The sequence below is a fragment of the Homo sapiens genome, chromosome 7, assembly GCF_000001405.40.
Source record: "Homo sapiens chromosome 7, GRCh38.p14 Primary Assembly".
Lineage (NCBI taxonomy): Eukaryota > Metazoa > Chordata > Mammalia > Primates > Hominidae > Homo > Homo sapiens.
In genome coordinates this window covers 55,217,717-55,237,730 of record NC_000007.14, presented here as the reverse complement: position 1 = coordinate 55,237,730, position 20,014 = coordinate 55,217,717, and the positions used below count along the sequence as shown (strand labels likewise).

The window sequence follows — 20,014 nt, the reverse complement described above, 5'->3', positions numbered from 1 at the left end:
CCTGTCCTCCTGTGAGATGAAGCCATTCTTAATCAGAGCCTCGGATCAGGAGGAGGGGCTGTGCGCCTGTCCTCCTGTGAGATGAAGCTGTGCTCAACCCCGGCCTCAGATCAGGAGGAGGGGCTGTGCTCCTGTCCTCCTGTGAGATGAGGCCATGCTCAATCCCAGGACAGGTGCAGGCGATTGCTTTCACCTTCTAACTTTAGAATCTGGAGAGTCCGCATAGCTCCTACTTTCGAAGCTGCCTCAGAGAGTCTTTGTTATTGCAAAATGCGTGTGGGCAGGCTGGACCAGGCAGTGGATCTTGTTGTTTTGTTAGGGAGAAAGGAAAACTGAAGTTCCATCACCTGCCAGTTAGTCTTGGTCTACCTCCAACCCAAACTTGGGCTCAGTGAAGCAGATTAATAAAGCAATGGGGCATCTCTGGCTGCTGCGAGCACCATGAATATGCATGCAGTGCAGGCCACCGGCTGGAACGCTTTTCCCACCCTGGAATTCGCCAGTCACGTTTCTACTCTCTGGGTTTCTTTCTAAGTTGAAAGATTCTGGAATTGTGGAGCTGGAAGGGATATTAGTGAAGACCATCTGGTCCAGTGTCCTCATTTTACAGATGAGCTAACTGAGGCCAGAGGGGAAGGGCCACTCCAGGGCACACTGCGAATGGCTCACAAACCCAGGACCAGGCCAGATCTCGCAGCTCTTGCTCCAGAGGATGCTTAGTGCCTGCAGTGCTTAGGGCACTCATTTTTTTGCTGAATTTTGTTTATTGAGACCATATGGAAAGCGAGTTGAGGCTGAAGTTACATGCATTCAGGACCAAGAGAAATGCAATTGATCACAAGATCCTTCTGTGTTGGGCCGCTGAGCAAATCGTGGGGTCACCCTCTCTCTTAGCAGTACAGGCTATGTCGATATGATGATATCACCTTAGAGCTAATGAAATGCATTCCTGAGAAATAAAATGATCGTTTCTGTTTTCTGCAGAGCAATTCCAAATGAGAGAAGCAATAACACTTTTTATGACCTATTAAAATCACTCTCATTTCACTAAACAACCTTCACACCTGTGGCAGTCCTTGCTTCCCTCGCAGGGGAAATACCCTGATGTCGGAAAAAACTATCCTTGAGTGAGGCCTGACACTGTGCCTGTGATGATGTGAGCCATCTGCAAAATTCACCGTGGAGGACAGAATGCCACTTAGGCTAAAGCAGGAGGAAGGGGCTTATAATTCTCGTCATCTTTTGTTTGAATGCAAACGAAACTACAGCCCAGGAAATAAATTCAATGTACTTTGACAAAACATGGGTAATCTTACCAGCATAGTCTCAAGTGGAGAAAGGTGACCACCTAAACTAAGAATCAACAAAAATCAAACAAAATGAAACATGTTGCTTAGAAATGCATTCATTTGTGATAAAACTGTTTTTAAAAAGCAAGAACATGATAGACACCCAATTTGGGACAGTGGCCATGTTTAGAGGGCTGCAGGGGGGATGCTGTGTAGGAGAGGCACAGAAAATTGGTGTTGTTTGTAAATTCGGGGGTGAGTTAAAAAAGTAGGGAAGAAGGAAGATACCAAACCAACTTCTGGACAGAACTTCTGACTTTGTAGCAGCCTTGCAGTCTTTATTAAGCAAGATGCGTTATGCCAATGATTTCAGATAATTTACTAGCAAGAGGATACTCAATTCTATCTTGTTTACGAATGAAAACTCCAAAATAAATGAGGCTCTGTGCCGCGGCACCTCGTTATTTCTTGTTCTGCAGTGAATGACCACTGTGATTATTCACTGTTCTGTGCTACTAAAGGGAGGAGCTGGAGAGACTGAGGGGGAAGAGAGTGGAAACAGAGCAAGCTGGGAAGGACTAAGGAGTCTTAAGGAAAGGCTCCAGGTAACAAAACTAACACACTAGGTGCTTGGCATCCCTCCTGGTTGCAAGATGGCTGCTGCACCTCCAGGCAAACGTTAGAATTCTAGGTGGGAAGAAGGGGGCAGGGAAAAAGCAAAGGGGTTCCAGGTCCTGGCCATGGGGCCTGAAGCATGAGCGGTCTGCAGGGCTCTCAGGCCTTCCACACCCCAGGCTGCCCCCGTGAGTGCAGCGCTCCCACAGGGAGTGGAGGCGATGATGCACAAATAAGCCAGAGAGTGCCCAAGTCTGGTACAATGGAGAAAATCAAACCCAAATCAGGAGGCTGGGCCGGGGGTCATGGTGAGTCAAGAAAAGAGGGTATTCTTCCCCACCTTCCCGCTAGAGCCACCGCAGGCCTGAAGCCCCTGGCACAGAGCCCCGCAGGGTTTGGGGTCTGCATGACTGAAATGGGGTGTGGAGGAGGCCTGAGGACTGCATTACCTGCACTTCCCAGGCTCTCCCTCTGCAGCCGGGCTGCCTTAGTGCAGGTCAGCTGCAACTGCAACCGCAACCGCAACCTGGTCACTTCCGGCAAGGGCAGAGCTCGCTCCCGCCGGGTGTGAGGTCTAGAATCGGCCTTCCTGCCCTGATCTTGTTCCCAGAACTCCTGGGGCGCACCTGGGAGCAATGCGGAGCCCCTCTATGTCTCCAAAGTCACGGCTTTCCTCTGTAATGCTATGACAGTGAAACAGCAAAAGAACACAACTCCATTTTTAAGGGGTCTTTACCCATTCTTGCACGTAGGGGAGGATAATTTTAGAGTACAGAGAAAATTAACAGCAATCATGTAGTTTTTAAAACTAGCTTTGGGACTAAAGGAGAAGTATGTAAACAACTATGTTTTGTGAAAGATTTCCAAGAGCACTGTGACCTGACCAAGAGCACTGTAACCAAGAGCACTGTGACAAAGCCATTCTCCACCTTCTTGGACCCGTGCTGGCTCCCAGGTGTCTGCGGTCCTCCATTACCTCTTGATCCCAACCCCCTCCTCTGTCTCCTGCCCTTAACATAAAATAGCCTAAAGTTTGTAGCGACTCGAGGTGGTGCTGTAGGATGCTAGTTGGCCATCTTCTTGGCTTGCTGGCACTCTTTTCCTCCCACCAGTTCTCTCGTGTGTTTGGATTCGAGCAGCGAGCAGCGGACCTTGGGTTTGGTTACCTCCGCCTGGAGCCCTGCCTGGGCTGCCCCGTGCCTGTGAGTTTCCTCCCGAGGCTGCTCTCTAGGCCTTCTCTTCACCCTCCTGCTCCTGTTTCCCAGGGCCTTCCTGATGGGTTGGACTCTGCTCTCTGGGCCCCCATTAGCCCCCTGGTGTTCTGCTCCACAGAGCTGTGGGAGTGTGACATCCCTGGCATCCCCAGAAGCCTGGGAACGCACCCTGACCCACTGCGCAGGCTCATGTCCAGCCTCCATCTCCCACCTTGCCTGACGGAGGCTGCGATGGGGCCCCGACCTCCAGCCTAGAGAGTGTGTCCACTGCCGTGGCCCTGTTCTCCCTTGGGTTTCTCCTGTGTGTGCCCTGGGTACTGTCTGCCCAGCTACATTTCTTCCCTCTTATTTTCTGCTAACAGTAGCCCCAGCTGTTAGGGTCATTGGTGGAAACCCTTAATCCCGGGAGGGTGACCTCCTCAACCCAGGTTGGAGGAACGCGGCTGCCCTACGAAACTCGGGCAGCTCTCTTTATCTGGGGCCAGTGACCTGGCAGATGATACACAACCCGGCGTCTAGGTTTTCTGATCCAACGGGGCTGGGTTCACTCACCATTCCTCTCTCCTCGTCCCTCATCTTCCTGCCTGGAATTCTAACTTGTCAGCTGAGGGGCAGCAGCAACCTTGCAAGCTGGTACGATGATGAAAGCTGGCACAGTCAGGGCGGTGCCTCTGGGCGATGCTGAGCTCTTCCATCTGCCCTGGGCTGACTCCCTTGGGGCTTATCCTAAGTAAGGAAATTAACCCCTTTTTGTTTAAAGCGTGAACGTTTTGGAATCACATTGTTTTCTGTGATTTGTGCCAGATTCATTCCTAAGTGACCTTCTCCCTTCCTTGTTGACCTGGGACTTAGGCAGAGTGTTCCTCAAGGTGCAGCCCAGGTGAACGTGTCAGATGCCCAGCAGAGACAGACAAGGACAGAGGAAAGAGTTCTCTCCTGTGGAAAAAGGGCAGTAGTAAGAGGTCTGCCCAGGCTCCAGAGAAGTGGGGAGTCCTAAGGGGCTTCCCAGGCCTGCGGTGGGTGAGGGAGCTGGCCCTGGAAGAAGAGAGGCCTGGTGGTAGGGCTGATTCTTCCAACAGGGCTGTGGCAATTCTCTGGGAAAGATTGTGCAGGCTGTGACCGAGCCCGCCAAGATTTTCCAGACCCTTGCAACCACCCGCTGCTGCTAGTTCTCTGCCTGGAAGCACCAGAGAAGCATCTTTTAGAGCTGTCCAGGGATTGCATGCATCTCCCACCCTTCAAGACCCAGGTTGCTCCTCGGTCTCCAGGTGCCATGGGTGGTGGGAGGCTTTTCTTCGCCAGAGCTAGAAAGTCAGGGCCTGCATTCTGAAGGCGGTGGGGGCACTGGGAATGCTTCCATCCACCTTTCATCACACGCTGAGATGCTGGGAGCAATAGGCGATTGTAAGGGTGGACGTGAGCAGATGGCAATGAGGATGGCAGGCCTGGCGGGCTGGGACTTGGGCCTGGAAATGCCAACTGAAGGTTGGGCCTGGAATGAGAGAAGCAGCCACATTGGGGGCAGCCAGAGGCAGTCTTCTGCTGGAGTCATGAAGTCAAAAATGAAAGTTCCCTGGAGCTAGACAAGAATATGGGAGAACATTTATGTCTATGGGGAAAATGAGGGCCTTCTAAAGCAAGATGTACAAAGCATCACATTTATCAAAAAATAAAGTTGATGTAAAAAATTTAAAATTACATTTTACCAAAGATAATATTTACAATGTATAATCCATGTGATCAGAAAATTAAAAATGAAAATCCAGAATAAATAATGAACTTTTATAAGTCAATAAAAAGAGAAGGCTGGGCACAGTGGCTCAGAACTGTAATCCTAGCACTTTGGGAGGTTCAAGTGGGAGGATTGTTCAGAAGTTCAAGACTAGCCTGGGCAACATAAGGAGATCCTGTCTTTACAAAAACTACAAAAATTAGCTGGACGAGGTGGTAACTGCCTATAGTCCCAGATACTTGGGAGGCTGAGGTGAGAGGATCACTTGAGCTCAGGAAGCCGAGGCTGCAGTGAGCTGAGATCCGCCACTCCAGCCTGGGCAATAGAGCAAGACAGTCTTGAAAAATGAAAATAAATAAAAGGAGTGAATTCTCCATCTTCAACTGACATATCCAGGTTCTTACACTGGGACTGATTGGGACTGACGAGATGTAGTGCTCAACCCACAGAGAGCAATGAAGTACAGGGTGGGGTATGGGTCTCCTGAGAGTGGCAGAGCCAGGGGAGCCCCCAACCCAGCCAAGGGAGGTGGTGAGTGATTGTGCGACCGTGTCTGGGAAACCATGCTTTTCCCATGGATTTTTGCAAACCTGCAGATCAGGAGATCCCCTCGTGAGCCCATTCCACCGGGGCATTAGGTCCAAAGCACAGAGCTGTGTGGAGTCTCAGTGGAGTGGCCACTCATGCACATGTGGAGACCCAGGAGTTTTGCATACTCTAGCCCCGGTAATTCTGGCAAGGCAGAATTCCCCTAGGAAGGGGGCTAAATCTAGGGGAGCCAAGTGGCATCATTCTGTGGCCCCTCTGCTGCACCTCACAATTTAAGACCCACTGGCTTGACATTCTAGACAGCTAGTGGCAGCAAGCTGGAGACTGCCTAAGATGGACTGAGTTCCCCAGGGGGGAGTGGCGGCCACCATCTCTCTGGTTTGAGTCAGCTGTTCTAGCCTGCTGGCTCTGGGGAGCCTGAGTGGTCCAGACTGAGAGGCGCTCCCCACAATGCGGCACATTGCTATGCCAGACTGTGGCCAGACTGCTTCTTTAAGTGGGACCCCGGTCCATCCCTCCTTACTGGGCAGGGCCTCCCTGTGGGAATTTCAGCAACTCTAGCTAGGGTTATATGGACAGAAATCTGATCTCCCTGGGATGGAGCCCCCAGGGGGAGGAGCAGCCTCTGTCTCTGCCATTGAGCCAACTCTTAGTTTTTCCAGCCTCCTGGTTCTAGAAAGTCCAGACAGTCTGCATGAGGGAGGTTCCCTTCAGCACAGTGCACCTGCTCTGCCAAGGGGCAGCCAGACTGCTTCTTTAAGTGGGTCCCTGATCCTGTTCCTCCTGACTGAGTGAGACCCCCCAAGAAGGGTCTCCAGACATCTCCTACAAGACTGTTTGGGCCAACATCAGGTCAGGGTCCCCCTGAGACAGAGCTCCAAGAGGAAGGAGCAGGCTGTCATAATTGCTGTTTTGCAGCCTTCACTGGTGATACCTCCAGGTGCAGGAAGGACTGAAGCAGCTAGGTCTGGAGTGGACCCCTAGCAAACCACAGTAGCCCTGTGGAAAAGTGGCCTGACTGTTAAAAGAAAAACAAACATCAACAACATCAACAACAAAAAGACTCCATTCAAATGTCAGCAACCTCAAAGATTGAAGGTAGATATGCCCGCAACGATGAGAAGGAATCAACGCAAAAATGCTGAGAACTCAAAAAGTTAGAGTCCCTTTTTTTTTCAAATGACTGCAACACCTCTCCAGGAAGGGCACAGAACTGGGCTGAGGCTGAGATGACTGAAATGACAGAAGTAGGATTCAGAAGGTGAGTAATAAAAAACTTTGCTGAGCTAAAAAAGCATGTTTTAACTTAACACAAAGAAGCAAAGAATTATAATAAAACAATACAGAAACTGAAAACCAGCATTGCTCGTTTTCAGAGCAAAATAACTGACCTGATGGAGCTGAAAAACACAACACGAGAATGTCACAATGGAGCCACAAGTATTAATAGAAGAGTAGAATAAACCAAGTGGAGGAAAGAATCTCAGAGCTTGAAGACTGTCTTTCTGAAATAAGACAGGCAGAAAAGAATAGAGAAAAAAGAATGAAAAGGGATGAATAAAACCTCTGGGAAATATGAGATTATGTAAAAAGATTGAACCTATGACTGATTGGGATACTTGAAAGAGATGGGGAGAACAGAAGCAAGTTGGAAAACATATTTCAGGTTATCCAGGAGAACTTCCGCAACTTAGCAAGACAGATCTACATTCAAATTCAGGAAATGCAGAGAACCCCAGTAACACACTCCATGAGAAGGTCATCCCTAAGACACAATCATCAGATTATCCAAGGTTGAAATGAAAGAAAAAATACTAAGAGCAGCCAGAGAGAAAGGCCAGGTCACCTACAAAGGGAAGCCCATCAGACTAACAGTGGACCTCTCAGCAGAAACCCTATAAGCCAGAGGAGATTTTGGGGGCCAATATTAAACCTCCTTTTAGAAAATGATTTCTGACCCAGATTCTTATTCAACCAAACTAAGCTTCATAAGTAAAGGAGAAATATAATCCTTTTCAGACAAGGAAGTGCTGAGGGAATTTGTCACCACCAGGCCTGCCTTGCAAGAGCTTCTGAAGGGAGCACTAAATATGGAAAGGAAAAACCATTACCAGACACTACAAAACCACACTGAAGTACACAGACCAGTGACACTATGAAGCAACCACATAAAAAGGTCTGCAAAATAACCAGCTAGCATCATCATGACAGGATCAAGTTCACACATAACAATGTTAACCTTAAATGTAAATGGGCTAAATGCCCCAATTAAAAGACACAGAATGGCAAACTTGATAGAGTCAAGACCCGTTGGTATGCTGTCTTCAAGAGACCCATCTCACATACAAAGGCACATGTAGGCTCAAGACAAAGGGATGGAGGAAAATTTAACCATCACATGGAAAACAGAACAAAGCACGGTTGCAATCCTAGTTGTGACAAAACAGACTTTAAACCAACAAAGGTCAAAAAAAGACAAAGAAGGGCATTACATAATGGTAAAGAGTTCAATTCAACAAGAGCAGCTAACCTAAATATATATGCACCCAAAACAGGAGCACCCAGATTCATAAAGCAAGTTCTTAGACCTACAAAGAGACTTAGGCTCACGCAATAACAATGAGAGACTTTAACACCCTGCTGACAATATTAGATAGATCATTGAGACAGAAAATTAACAAAGACATTCAGGACCTGAACTCAGCTCTGGATCAAGTGGACCTGATAGATGTCTACAGAACTTTCCCCCACAAAACAACAGAGAATGCATTCTTCACATCACCACATGGCACTTACTCTAAAATTGACCACATAATTGGAAGTAAAACATTCCTCACCAAAAGCAAAAGCACTGAAATCATAACAGTCTCTCAGACCACAGTGCAATCAAATTAGAACTCAAGATTAAGAAACTCACTCAACACCACAAGACTACATGGAAATTTAATGACCTGCTCCTGAATGACTCCTGGGTAAATAATGAAATTAAGGCAGAAATCAAGAAGTTCTTTGAAACTAAGGAGAACAAAGAGATGGTGTGCCAGAATCTCTGGGACACTGCTAAAGCAGTGCTACCAGGGAACTCTATAGTTCCCTAAATGCCCACATCAAAAAGCTAGAAAGATCTCAAATCAACAACCTAACATCACAACTAAAAGAACTAGAGAACCAAGAGCAAACAAACCTGAAAACTTGCAAAAGACAAGAAATAGCCAAGATCAGAGCAGAACTGAAGGAGCTAGAGACATGAGAAAACCTTCAAAAAAAAACAAACAAATCCAGGAGCTGTGTTTTATTTTATTTTATTTTTTATTTTTTTTTTAGACAAAGTCTTGCTCTGTCACCCAGGCTGGAGTGCAGTGAGGTGATCTCAGCTAACTGCAACCTCCCCTCCTGGGTTCAAGCAATTCTCCTGCCTCAGCCTCCCAAGTAGCTGGGATTACAGGTGCCTACCACCACACAAGGCTACTTTTTGTATTTTTAGAAGAGATGGAGTTTAGCCATCTCAGACAGGCTGGTCTTGAACTCCTGGCTTCAGGTGATCCGCCTGCCTTGGCCTCCGAAAGTGCTGGGATTACCAGCATGAGCCACCATGCCCAGCTGGAGCTGGTTTTTTGAAGAAATTAATAAAACGGATAGACTGCTGTCTAGACTAATAAAGAAGAGAAGAGAGAAGAATCAAATAGATACAATCAGAAATAATATGGGGGATATCACTACTGACACCAAGGAAATACAAACAACCATCAGAGATTACTATGTACATAAACTGGAAAATCTAGAAGAAATGGATAAATTCCTGGACACATCTACCCTCCCAATACTGAACCAGGAATAAATTGTATCCCTAAATACACCAATAACGAGTTCTGAAATTGAGGCAGTAATTAATAGCCTACAACGAAGAAAAGCCCAGGACCAGACAGATTTACAGCTGAATTCTACCAGAAATACAAAAAAGAGCTGGTACCATTTCTACTGAAACTATTTCAAAGAATTGAAGAGGAGGGACTCCTTCCTAACTCACTGTATGAGGCCAGCATCATCCTGATACCAAAACTTTGCAGAGATACAACAAAAAAAGAAAATTTCAGGCCAATATCCCTGATGAACATTGATGCAAAAATCCTCAACAAAATACTGGCAAATTGAGTCAAGCAGCACATCAAAAAGCTTGTCTGCCACAATCAAGTAGGCTTCATCCCTGGTATGCAAGGTTGGTTCAACATATGCAAATAAATAAATGTAATTCATCATATAAACAGAAGTAAAGACAAAAACCAATGATTATCTCAGTAGACACAGAAAGGGACTTCAATAAAACTCAATATCTCTTCATGTTAAAAACTCTTAATAAATTAGGTATTGAAGGAACATACCTCAAAATAATAAGAGCCATTTATGACAAACCCACAACCAATATCATCGTAAATGGGCAAAAGCTGGAAGCATTCCCCTTGAAAACCAGCACAAGACAAGGATGCCCTCTCTCACCATTCCTATTCAAGATAGTATTAGAAGTCCTGGCCAGGGCAATGAGGCAAGTGAAAGAAACAAAGCGTATTCAAATAGGAAGAGAGGAAGTCAAACTGTCTCTGTTTGCAGATAACATGATCCTATATCTAGAAAAATGCCTTCATCTCAGCCCAAAAGCTTCTTAAGGTGATAAGCAACTTCAGCAAAGTCTCAGGATACAAAATCAATGTGCAAAAATCACTAGCATTCCTATATGCCAACAACAGGCAAGCAGAGAGCCAAATCATGAATGAACTCACATTCACAGTTGCTTCAAAGACAATAAAATACCTAGGAATACAGCTAATGAGGGAAGTGAAGGACCTCTTCAAGGAGAACTACAAACAACTGCTCAAAGAGATCAGAGAGGACAAAAACAAATGGAAAAACATTCCATGCTCATGGATAGGAAGAATCAATATCATAAAAATGGCCATACTGTCCAGAGTAATTTATAGATTCAATGCTATTCCCATTAAACTACCATTGACATTCTTCACAGAATTAGAAAAAACTATTTTAAAATTCATATGGACCCAAAAAAGAGCCCAAATAGCCAAGACAATCCCAAACAAAAAGAACAAAGCTGGAGTCATCAGGCTACACAACTTCAAACCATACTACAAGGCTACAGTAACCAAAACAGCATGGTACTGGTACAAGAGCAGACACTTAGACCAATGGATCAGAATAGAGAATTCAGAAATAAGACTGACACCTACAACCAGCTGATCTTTGACAAACCTGACAAAAACAAGCAACGGGGACGGGATTCCCTATTCAGTAAATGGTGCTGTGAGAACTGACTAGCCATATGCAGAAATTGAAACTAGACCCCTTCCTCATACCTTGTACAAAAGTTAACTCCAGATGTATTAAAGACTTAAATGTAAAATTCAAAACTATAAAGCCCTTAGCAGAAAATCTAGGCAATACCATTCAGGACATAGGAATGGTCAAAGATTTTATGACAAAGACACCAAAAGCAATTACAACAAAAGCAAAAATTGACAAATGTGATGTAATTAAACTAAAGATGTGATGTAATTAAACTTCTGCACAGCAAAAGAAACTATAATCTGAGTGAACAGACAACCTACAGAATGGGAGAAAATTTTTGCAATCTATCTATCTGACAAAGGTCTAATATCTAGTCTACAGGGAACTTAAATTTATAAGAGAAAAAACAAACAACCCCATTAAAAAGTCAGCAAAGGTCATGAACAGCCACTTCCCAAAAGAAGACATTCATATGGCCAACAAACATAAGAAAAAAAAATCAACATCACTGATCATTCGAGAAATGCAAATCAAAACCACAATGAGAAATGCAAATTAAAGCCACAATGAGATATCATCTCATGCCAGTCAGAATGGTAATTATTAAAAATTGAAGAAACAACAAATGCTGGTGAGGATATAAAGAAAAAGAAATGCTTTTACACTGTTGGTGGGAGTGTAAATTAGTTCAACCATTGAGAAAGACAGTGTGGTGATTCCTCAAAGATCTAGAGGCAGAAATACCATTTGACCTAGCAATCCCATTACTGAGTATATACCCAAAGGAATATAGATCATTCTATTATAAAGATACATGCACATGTATGTTCACTGCAGCACTATTCACAATAGCAAAGACGCGGAATCAACCTAAATGCCCATCAATGATAGACTGGATAAAGAAAATGTGGTACATATACACTATGGAATATTATGCAGCCATAAAAAGGAATGAGATTATGTCTTTTGCAGGGACATGGATGGAGCTGGAAGCTGTTATCCTCAGCAAATTAACATAGGAATAGAAAACCAAACACCACATGTTCTCATTTATAAGTGGGAGCTGAATGATGAGAACATGTGGACACGTGAGGTGGAACAACACCCACTGGGGCCTGTCTGGGGTTGGGGGATGGAGAGCATCAGGAAGAACAGCTAGTGCATGGGGGCTTAATACCTAGGTGATGGGATGATCTGTGCGGCAAACCACCATGGCACACGTTTACCTGTGTAACAGACCTGCACATCCTGCACATGTACCCCAAAACTTAAAATAAAAGTTGAACAAAAAAAAGCACAAGAGGAGGAATATCAAAGAAAAAAAAGACAAGACAAATCCAAAAGGAAAAGGTCACAGAAGAAATTTCAGTGGGTAATAAAGAAAAAATATTTCAACATGTTAAATTTTATACTATGTAAATATAAGCATATTTTTATATAAAAATGAGAAACAATGCCCATTTTCAGTAGGACAAGGCAAAAACCAAAAGAAAAATCCTTGAAGGGACACAAATTATGAAATTTGATAGTATTAAGCATTGGCAAGGATGTGAAGAAATGGGCCCCCTTATATCATTCAGCAATTTGAAAGTATCTATTGAAAGTACAGCATCTCCATACCCCTGGACAAAGCGAGTCCTCATTGTGGTGTTTCCGAGAGAGCATTTGGAGGTACCCAGGAGATGCAGTTATGTTCACTGCAAAATTATTTATAATAGTGGAGACAGGGGAAAGGCTTCCAAAGGTCTATCAACAGGGAAATAGCTGTGTAAAAAAAGTTATAGTCACACTGTAGAGTACTATGTGATATTTACAAAGAACAACCTAGAGTTTTATGTTGTAAACAAAGGTCTCCAAGGCAGTGCTGAGGGAAAACAGCAAGATGCAGAATTATGATGGAGTAGGTGTCCCTCTCCACCAAAAGAAGATCCAGTAGCATCTATGACATTGCAGTTGTTAAGAAGAAGGCTGTATCCTTGTACAGCCTATGTTACATGGATGTGCATATCCAAGACTGTAGGCGAGACTGCAGCATTTAGGACAGTACAGAGTGGCAGGAGGAGGGTGTCCTGCCACTGGGGATGGGTGTAGGGTACTGATGGGTAAATGAGGTGGTCCTGATGCTGCTCAACAGACGGAGACAGGATTCAGGCCCTTTCCTGATGAGGGGTTTTAATTAGATTTGTGCTGGTCATTTCATTTTGCTGAAAGTCTTCCCTTTGATCACTGAGAAGTTAATTTCACAAAACAAGGAGAAAGTCGCTACAGGAGCTGCCCTGTTCTGGATCTAAGTGGAAGGATTGCCTGTTCAGTAAAAGACAGGTGCAGGCAGGAGCTGTGCCAGAAGGTGCAGGCAGTGGCTGTGCTGGCTCAGTCATCAACCCTTTATGGAGCACTTACTATGTGCCGGTTGCTGATCCAGGCACCAGAGAACTAGAGAGTAATATGACACAGTCCCTGGTTCCAAGGAGCCTTTTTCTAGTCCGAAAAAAATCTACACAGTGGGATATTCAATATTGACACGTCATGTGAGGATAGAAGTACAGGGTGCTATGAAGGCTCTGAGAGGCGGGGCTTAGCCCCACCTGGGGTGCAGAGGTGGCTTTCTGTAGGTGATGGCACCTGTGCTGGGTCTTGATGGACGAGTAAGAGCTGGATAGGGTGAGGAGGATGCTAGCGTATGGCACAGACAGGACACTGAGGTGTGGAATGGGCGTCCAGCTGAGGAGCTTGGGCTTTATCCCCAAGGCAATGTGCAGTTGAAGGAGGTGAGAGCTGTGGTGAGATCTGGGAAGGGGTGGTGTGGAGGAGGGATGTGAGGGACCCACTTGCAGAGTCAGGAAGACAGGTTGGTGGGCTCACCCAGGGGTCCAAGTGGAAGATGATAGAAGGTCTGCATTGCTTTAGTTTGTGATAAAGAGCGAGGGGAAGTCGGGGTTATTTAGATAATACTAGACCTGGCAAGGTGGAATTCTTTTCAAGAGGAGAGAGGTGTGACCTTCTATAGGAAAGCTCAATGAGGAGTTTTGGAAGTATTTAAAATAAGCAAATACATCCCTGAGAAAAACAGAACCATCTAAAGAAAGCAATATGGCTATTCTGGAACTCCATGGTGACTTCAGGCTCACATTTTTAAAGTCCTGTGTGTCCAGGAAAGAGAGGGACATAGAAATAAGCTGCAGTTTCCTGGTAGGGACAAGGCTTTGCTGGCTTTGTTCCCATTCAATTCCCAGTGTCTAGCATAGTAGCGGGCATGTAGGTGCTTAGTAATACTTATCAAGAGAATGCACAGATAAGTGAACAAATGGATGGATGGATGGATGGATGGGTGGGTGGATGGATGGGTGGATGGCTGGCTGGATGGAAAACTTCCTAGTGGCAAGATATGAACAAGTAGTGTTGACCTGGCTAATATCCTAGGTAACTTTTGTAGAAAATGCTCAAAAGGAACAAAGTAGATGTTTAAAGCTATTTTTGGAAAGAAAGAATTGCCATCATGAATGGGTGCTGAAAGATGACAACCCCTTGAGTCAACAGCCCCCTGCTTTGGACTGAAAATGCGAGCCTGTGCAGAAGTATAGATGTAGTGGAAGCAGCAGAGTGAAGGGACAGCAAGCAGGCCCAGAAGAGGAACCCTTCAAAACGCAGGCTCTAAGCCACATCCATGGGTCACGGCAGAAGCCTGAAATGGGCCCTCTCTGTTCCCATCTGCACACAGGCTCCAGCAGTCATTAGGACACAGGTGGCATCTGCACTGCAGTGTCCTGGGAGTTTCCTGTGTCACTTCCTTTTCAGCCTGTGGGTCAGAGCGAGTCACGTGGCCCACCTGCCTCTGGGGCAGGGAAGTGCGACGTCCCATGTGCAAGAAAGGGAGGCACGGCGGGGAAGCTTGCGCTCTAGCAGACTCTGCCAGGAGTACAAAAAAGTTGGTTTAAAATGAGTGTCCTTTTCCCCTTAAAGTGATTTTTAAAAAAATTCTTTATTTTTAGAGTGGTTTTAGGTTCATAGCCAAATTGAGCAGAAGGCACAGAGATTTCCCATACAGCCCTTGTCCCCCTATATGCACTGTATCCCCCTTATCAATATCCCGCCCCAGAGAGCCTCATTGCTTACAATATATGGACCTATCATGATCTCCCAAAGTCCACGGTTTACATGAGGATTCTCTCTTGGTGTTGTATACTCTGGGTTTGGACAAATATATCCACCATTACAGGCTCATACAGAGTAATTTCCTGCCCTGAAAATCCCCCGTGTTCAGCGGATTCATCTGTCCCTCCCCGCTGGCTCCCTGCAAGCATGCATCTTTATACTGCCTCCCCGGTTTTAGCTTTTCCAGGACCTCATTAAGGAGATCTTTACGTTTTTCTAGACACAGAAGTATGCTGCTTTATCTTCTGTGTTATGTCTGTACTTTTTATAATGAACAATGCTGTTTTAGAGCCCATGCTGAGTTTTTGATTCGTTCTTTAACATGGAAAGAGTCAGCCTCTCCTCCCACTTTGTTTTCTTCTGTGGTTAATTATTCTTTTCTTTAAAAATTAAAAAACATCAAACAGTCTTCTTATCAATCTTTCTCTTTATGCCTTTGGAGTTTCGTGTTATGCATTAGGATCACCTCCCCTTCCTAAGATTCAAAAATATTCACATACATTTTACCCAATACTTTGACAGTTTACCAGGTTGCAGGAGCTCAGCCTGGTGGTCACCAGTTGCCAGAATCCTCCTCTGTCAGGTGAGGGTAGGGTTATCTCTGCCCAGGGCTCCTCGCCAAATTTCGTGTGTGTGTGTCTGTGTGTGCGCAGGTGCATGTGTGCACATCTGCGGGTGTAAAGGTTTCTTTTGGAGCACTGGCCTAGGTATTTCCGCAGTGCTAAACACCTGACTTGGCACAGAGTAGGCCAGTAAATGTGTGCTGCGGTGGGCTAAGCGTCTTCAGCGCATGCTGGCATAAGACTGTGGGTCTGATCGCTCTCAGGGAGCCCTGGGTCCTGGTCTACCCCAGAGCTGACTGGTTTTAGTTTGGGGTTGGTGTCCAGGCAGTGTGGTAGCTGATCTCCAGGAAATATCCAGCTGTGGAGGCATTGGTCCCCAGCAAGGTTGACCTGACTTTTCCCTATTGAATTTCTTAGGAAGGTAAAACACTGATGTAGTAGATCTATGCTACTGTGTCCAAAATAGCAGTGTAATATTGCACTTTAAATGTTTCTTCATCTGTAAAGTGGAAATAATAATTTCTGTCTTAGATGTACACTCAGGACAGTGTCTTGTCTATATTAAAACTCTCCCTCTCTCTCTATATAATCACTTATTATTTCCTTAGTTGTAATTCTTTCACTGTTCAATTAGAACTTTACTAAATTATTATATGTCTTTCTTTTGGTTAAGGTAGTAGATGAAGTTTGAAATCATCTTTTATTCTGGAATGCTAGTGGGCCTTTCTCAACTAAGGTCCCAGGAGAGAACTAAGCCCTACAAAAAACAAATAGGTGACCGTTGTCTCTATTCCCCCAAGGATGATGCATAACTAGCACAATTCTAGAAGGGTAGGAGAGAAGGTATTAATTATTTTCAGTAGATTCCTGCATGCATCAGGGATAAATTCTCTTGTGGGACTGAGAACACCCAACACCCTGCTGCTTCAACTCCCTTTTAAAAGCACATTGCAGAGTTGCCAATTAGCCTCTCCCTCTCCCTCTCCCTCTCCCTCTCCCTCTCCCTCTCCCTCTCCCTCTCCCTCTCCCTCTCCCTCTCCCTCTCCCTCTCCCTCTCCCTCTCCCTCTCCCTCTCCCTCTCCCTCTCCCTCTCCCTCTCCCTCCCCCTCCCCCTCCCCCTCCCTCTCCGTCTCCGTCTCCGTCTCCCTCTCCCCACGGTCTCCCTCTCATGCGGAGCCGAAGCTGGACTGTACTGCTGCCATCTCGGCTCACTGCAACCTCCCTGCCTGATTCTCCTGCCTCAGCCTGCCGAGTGCCTGCGATTGCAGGCACGCGCCGCCACGCCTGACTGGTTTTGGTGGAGACGGGGTTTCGCTGTGTTGGCCGGGCCGGTCTCCAGCCCCTAACCGCGAGTGATCCGCCAACCTCGGCCTCCCGAGGTGCCGGGATTGCAGACGGAGTCTCGTTCACTCAGTGCTCAATGGTGCCCAGGCTGGAGTGCAGTGGCGTGATCTCGGCTCACTACAACCTCCACCTCCCAGCCGCCTGCCTTGGCCTCCCAAAGTGCCGAGATTGCAGCCTCTGCCCGGCCGCCACCCCGTCTGGGAAGTGAGGAGTGTCTCTGCCTGGCCGCCCATCGTCTGGGATGTGAGGAGCCCCTCTGCCCGGCCGCCCAGTCTGGGAAGTGAGGAGCGTCTCCGCCCGGCCGCCATCCCATCTAGGAAGTGAGGAGCGCCTCTTCCCAGCCGCCATCACATCTAGGAAGTGAGGAGCGTCTCTGCCCGGCCGCCCATCGTCTGAGATGTGGGGAGCGCCTCTGCCCCACCGCCCCATCTGGGATGTGAGGAGCGCCTCTGCCCGGCCGAGACCCCGTCTGGGAGGTGAGGAGCGTCTCTGCCCGGCCGCCCCGTCTGAGAAGTGAGGAGACCCTCTGCCTGGCAACCACCCCGTCTGAGAAGTGAGGAGCCCCCCCGCCCGGCAGCTGCCCCGTCTGAGAAGTGAGGAGCCTCTCCGCCCAGCAGCCACCCCATCTGGGAAGTGAGGAGCATCTCCGCCCGGCAGCCACCCCGTCCGGGAGGGAGGTGAGGGGGGGTCAGCCCCCCGCCCGGCCAGCCGCCCCAACCGGGAGGGAGGTGGGGGGTCAGCCCCCCGCCCGGCCAGCCGTGCCATCCGGGAGGGAGGTGGGGGGGTCAGCCCCCCGCCCGGCCAGCCGCCCGGTCCGGGAGGTGAGGGGCGCCTCTGCCCGGCCGCCCCTACTGGGAAGTGAGGAGCCCCTCTGCCCGGCCAGCCGCCCCGTCCGGGAGGGAGGTGGGGGGGTCAGCCCTCCGCCCGGCCAGCCGCCCCGTCTGGGAGGTGAGGGGCGCCTCTGCCCGGCCGCCCCTACTGGGAAGTGAGGAGCCCCTCTGCCCGGCCAGCTGCCCCGTCCGCGAGGGAGGTGGGGGGGTCAGCCCCCCGCCCGGCCAGCCGCCCCGTCCGGGAGGGAGGTGGGGGGGGTCAGCCCCCCTGCCCGGCCAGCCGCCCCGTCCGGGAGGTGAGGGGCGCCTCTGCCCGGCCGCCCCTACTGGGAAGTGAGGAGCCCCTCTGCCCGGCCAGCCGCCCCGTCCGCGAGGGAGGTGGGGGGGTCAGCCCCCCGCCCGGCCAGCCGCCCCGTCCGGGAGGGAGGTGGGGGGGGTCAGCCCCCCTGCCCGGCCAGCCGCCCCGTCCGGGAGGTGAGGGGCGCCTCTGCCCGGCCGCCCCTACTGGGAAGTGAGGAGCCCCTCTGCCCGGCCACCACCCCGTCTGGGAGGTGTGCCCAACAGCTCATTGAGAACGGGCCAGGATGACAATGGCGGCTTTGTGGAATAGAAAGGCGGGAAAGGTGGGGAAAAGATTGAGAAATCGGATGGTTGCCGTGTCTGTGTAGAAAGAAGTAGACATGGGAGACTTTTCATTTTGTTCTGCACTAAGAAAAATTCCTCTGCCTTGGGATCCTGTTGATCTGTGACCTTACCCCCAACCCTGTGCTCTCTGAAACATGTGCTGTGTCCACTCAGGGTTAAATGGATTAAGGGCGGTGCAAGATGTGCTTTGTTAAACAGATGCTTGAAGGCAGCATGCTCGTTAAGAGTCATCACCAATCCCTAATCTCAAGTAATCAGGGACACAAACACTGCGGAAGGCCGCAGGGTCCTCTGCCTAGGAAAACCAGAGACCTTTGTTCACTTGTTTATCTGCTGACCTTCCCTCCACTATTGTCCCATGACCCTGCCAAATCCCCCTCTGTGAGAAACACCCAAGAATTATCAATAAAAAAATAAATTAAAAAAAAAAAAAAAAATAAAAGCACATTGCAACTCTTTCTGTTGCTGGTTCCTGTAAGCAATACATTTAAAAATATTATTTGTTTCTTAGGATTTAAAATGTGTTGTATTGAAACGTTGACCCATCATGGCTGAGACTTGGATCAGTATCTCACTTCAGGAAACAGGACTCAAGCTGGGCGCAGGGGCTCACGCCTGTAATCCCAGCACTTTGGGAGGCCGAAGTGGGTGAATCACACGGTCAAGAGATTGAGACCATCCTGACCAACATGGTGAAACCCCGTCTCAACTAAAAAAGCAAAAATTAGCTGGGTGTGGTGGCTGGTGCCTATAGTCCCAGCTACTCTGGAGGCTGAGGCAGGAGAATCGCTTGAACCCAGGAGGCGGAGGTTGCAGTGAGCTGAGATCATGCCACTGCACTCCAGCCTGGCGAGAGTGAGACTCCATCTCAAAAAAAGAAACAGGACGCAGACATACATTCTAGGTAATTCTTGGCTGTCCCTTACGCGGTTGGGTGCATATACTTTGATTAAAGTCCTCTATCATTCCTTTTTCTCTTGCAGCCTAAAATAAAGACACCTCTCTGTTATGGACTGAATTGTGTCCCCCCCAAATTCATATGCTGGAGCCCTAATTCCCAAGGTGATGGTATTTGGAGATGAAGTTTTTGGGAAGTGAGTAGGGTTAGATGAAGTCATGAGAGTGGGGCCCTCAGGATAGGATTAGCATCCTTTTAAGAAGGGACACCAGAGTGCTCCCTCTCTCTTTCACCAGGAGCCCAATCAGCTAGCATCTTGACCTTAGACTTCCACACTCTAGGACTGTGAGAAGTAAACACCACTGTGTCAGCCACTGGGCCCACAGCACTCTGTGAGGGCAGTGCCAGCTGGCTGATGCCCTCTTACACCAATGGGGATCTCACCCCTGTGCCTACATGGGCCGTCCTGGTCTCCCAGGAGCCAGGGCATTCCACCTGAAGTGGTCCCAACAGGAAACACACACCCCACCACCTCGGCCCACTAGGCCTGCATCGCTTCCACTCAGGGCTCCTCCCACAGGGAGGTGTGCAGCAAGGATTTTGTTCTGGGGGAGAGAGATCAGGAAGAAGAGAAAATTAAATAAGAAATTGCTAAATGTTCTGTTGCAAGTGGAAGGAAGGGGAAAGGCCATGAACTGACACATAATATTTTTCCTATTACAATTGCAGAAGTAATATATATTCATTATAAAAATTCAAGCAACAGAAGTGTATACAATAAAAAGTAAAATTTCCTCTTTGTCATTTCATCATTTCACATTCTACTCCTTACTCACTAGAGGTCTCCACCATTAGTTAATTGACATTAATATTTCCAAGAGGTTTTCA

General features: G+C 47.6%; 1 annotated feature.

Annotated features, from left to right (window-relative positions):
• Positions 138–657: an enhancer, noted in NCBI's record as "OCT4 hESC enhancer chr7:55304767-55305286 (GRCh37/hg19 assembly coordinates)". NCBI's record gives its function as "activates a minimal SCP1, AML or CMV promoter by ChIP-STARR-seq in naive H9 embryonic stem cells {active_cell/tissue: H9 hESC(naive)}" and the evidence as "EXISTENCE:reporter gene assay evidence [ECO:0000049][PMID:30033119]".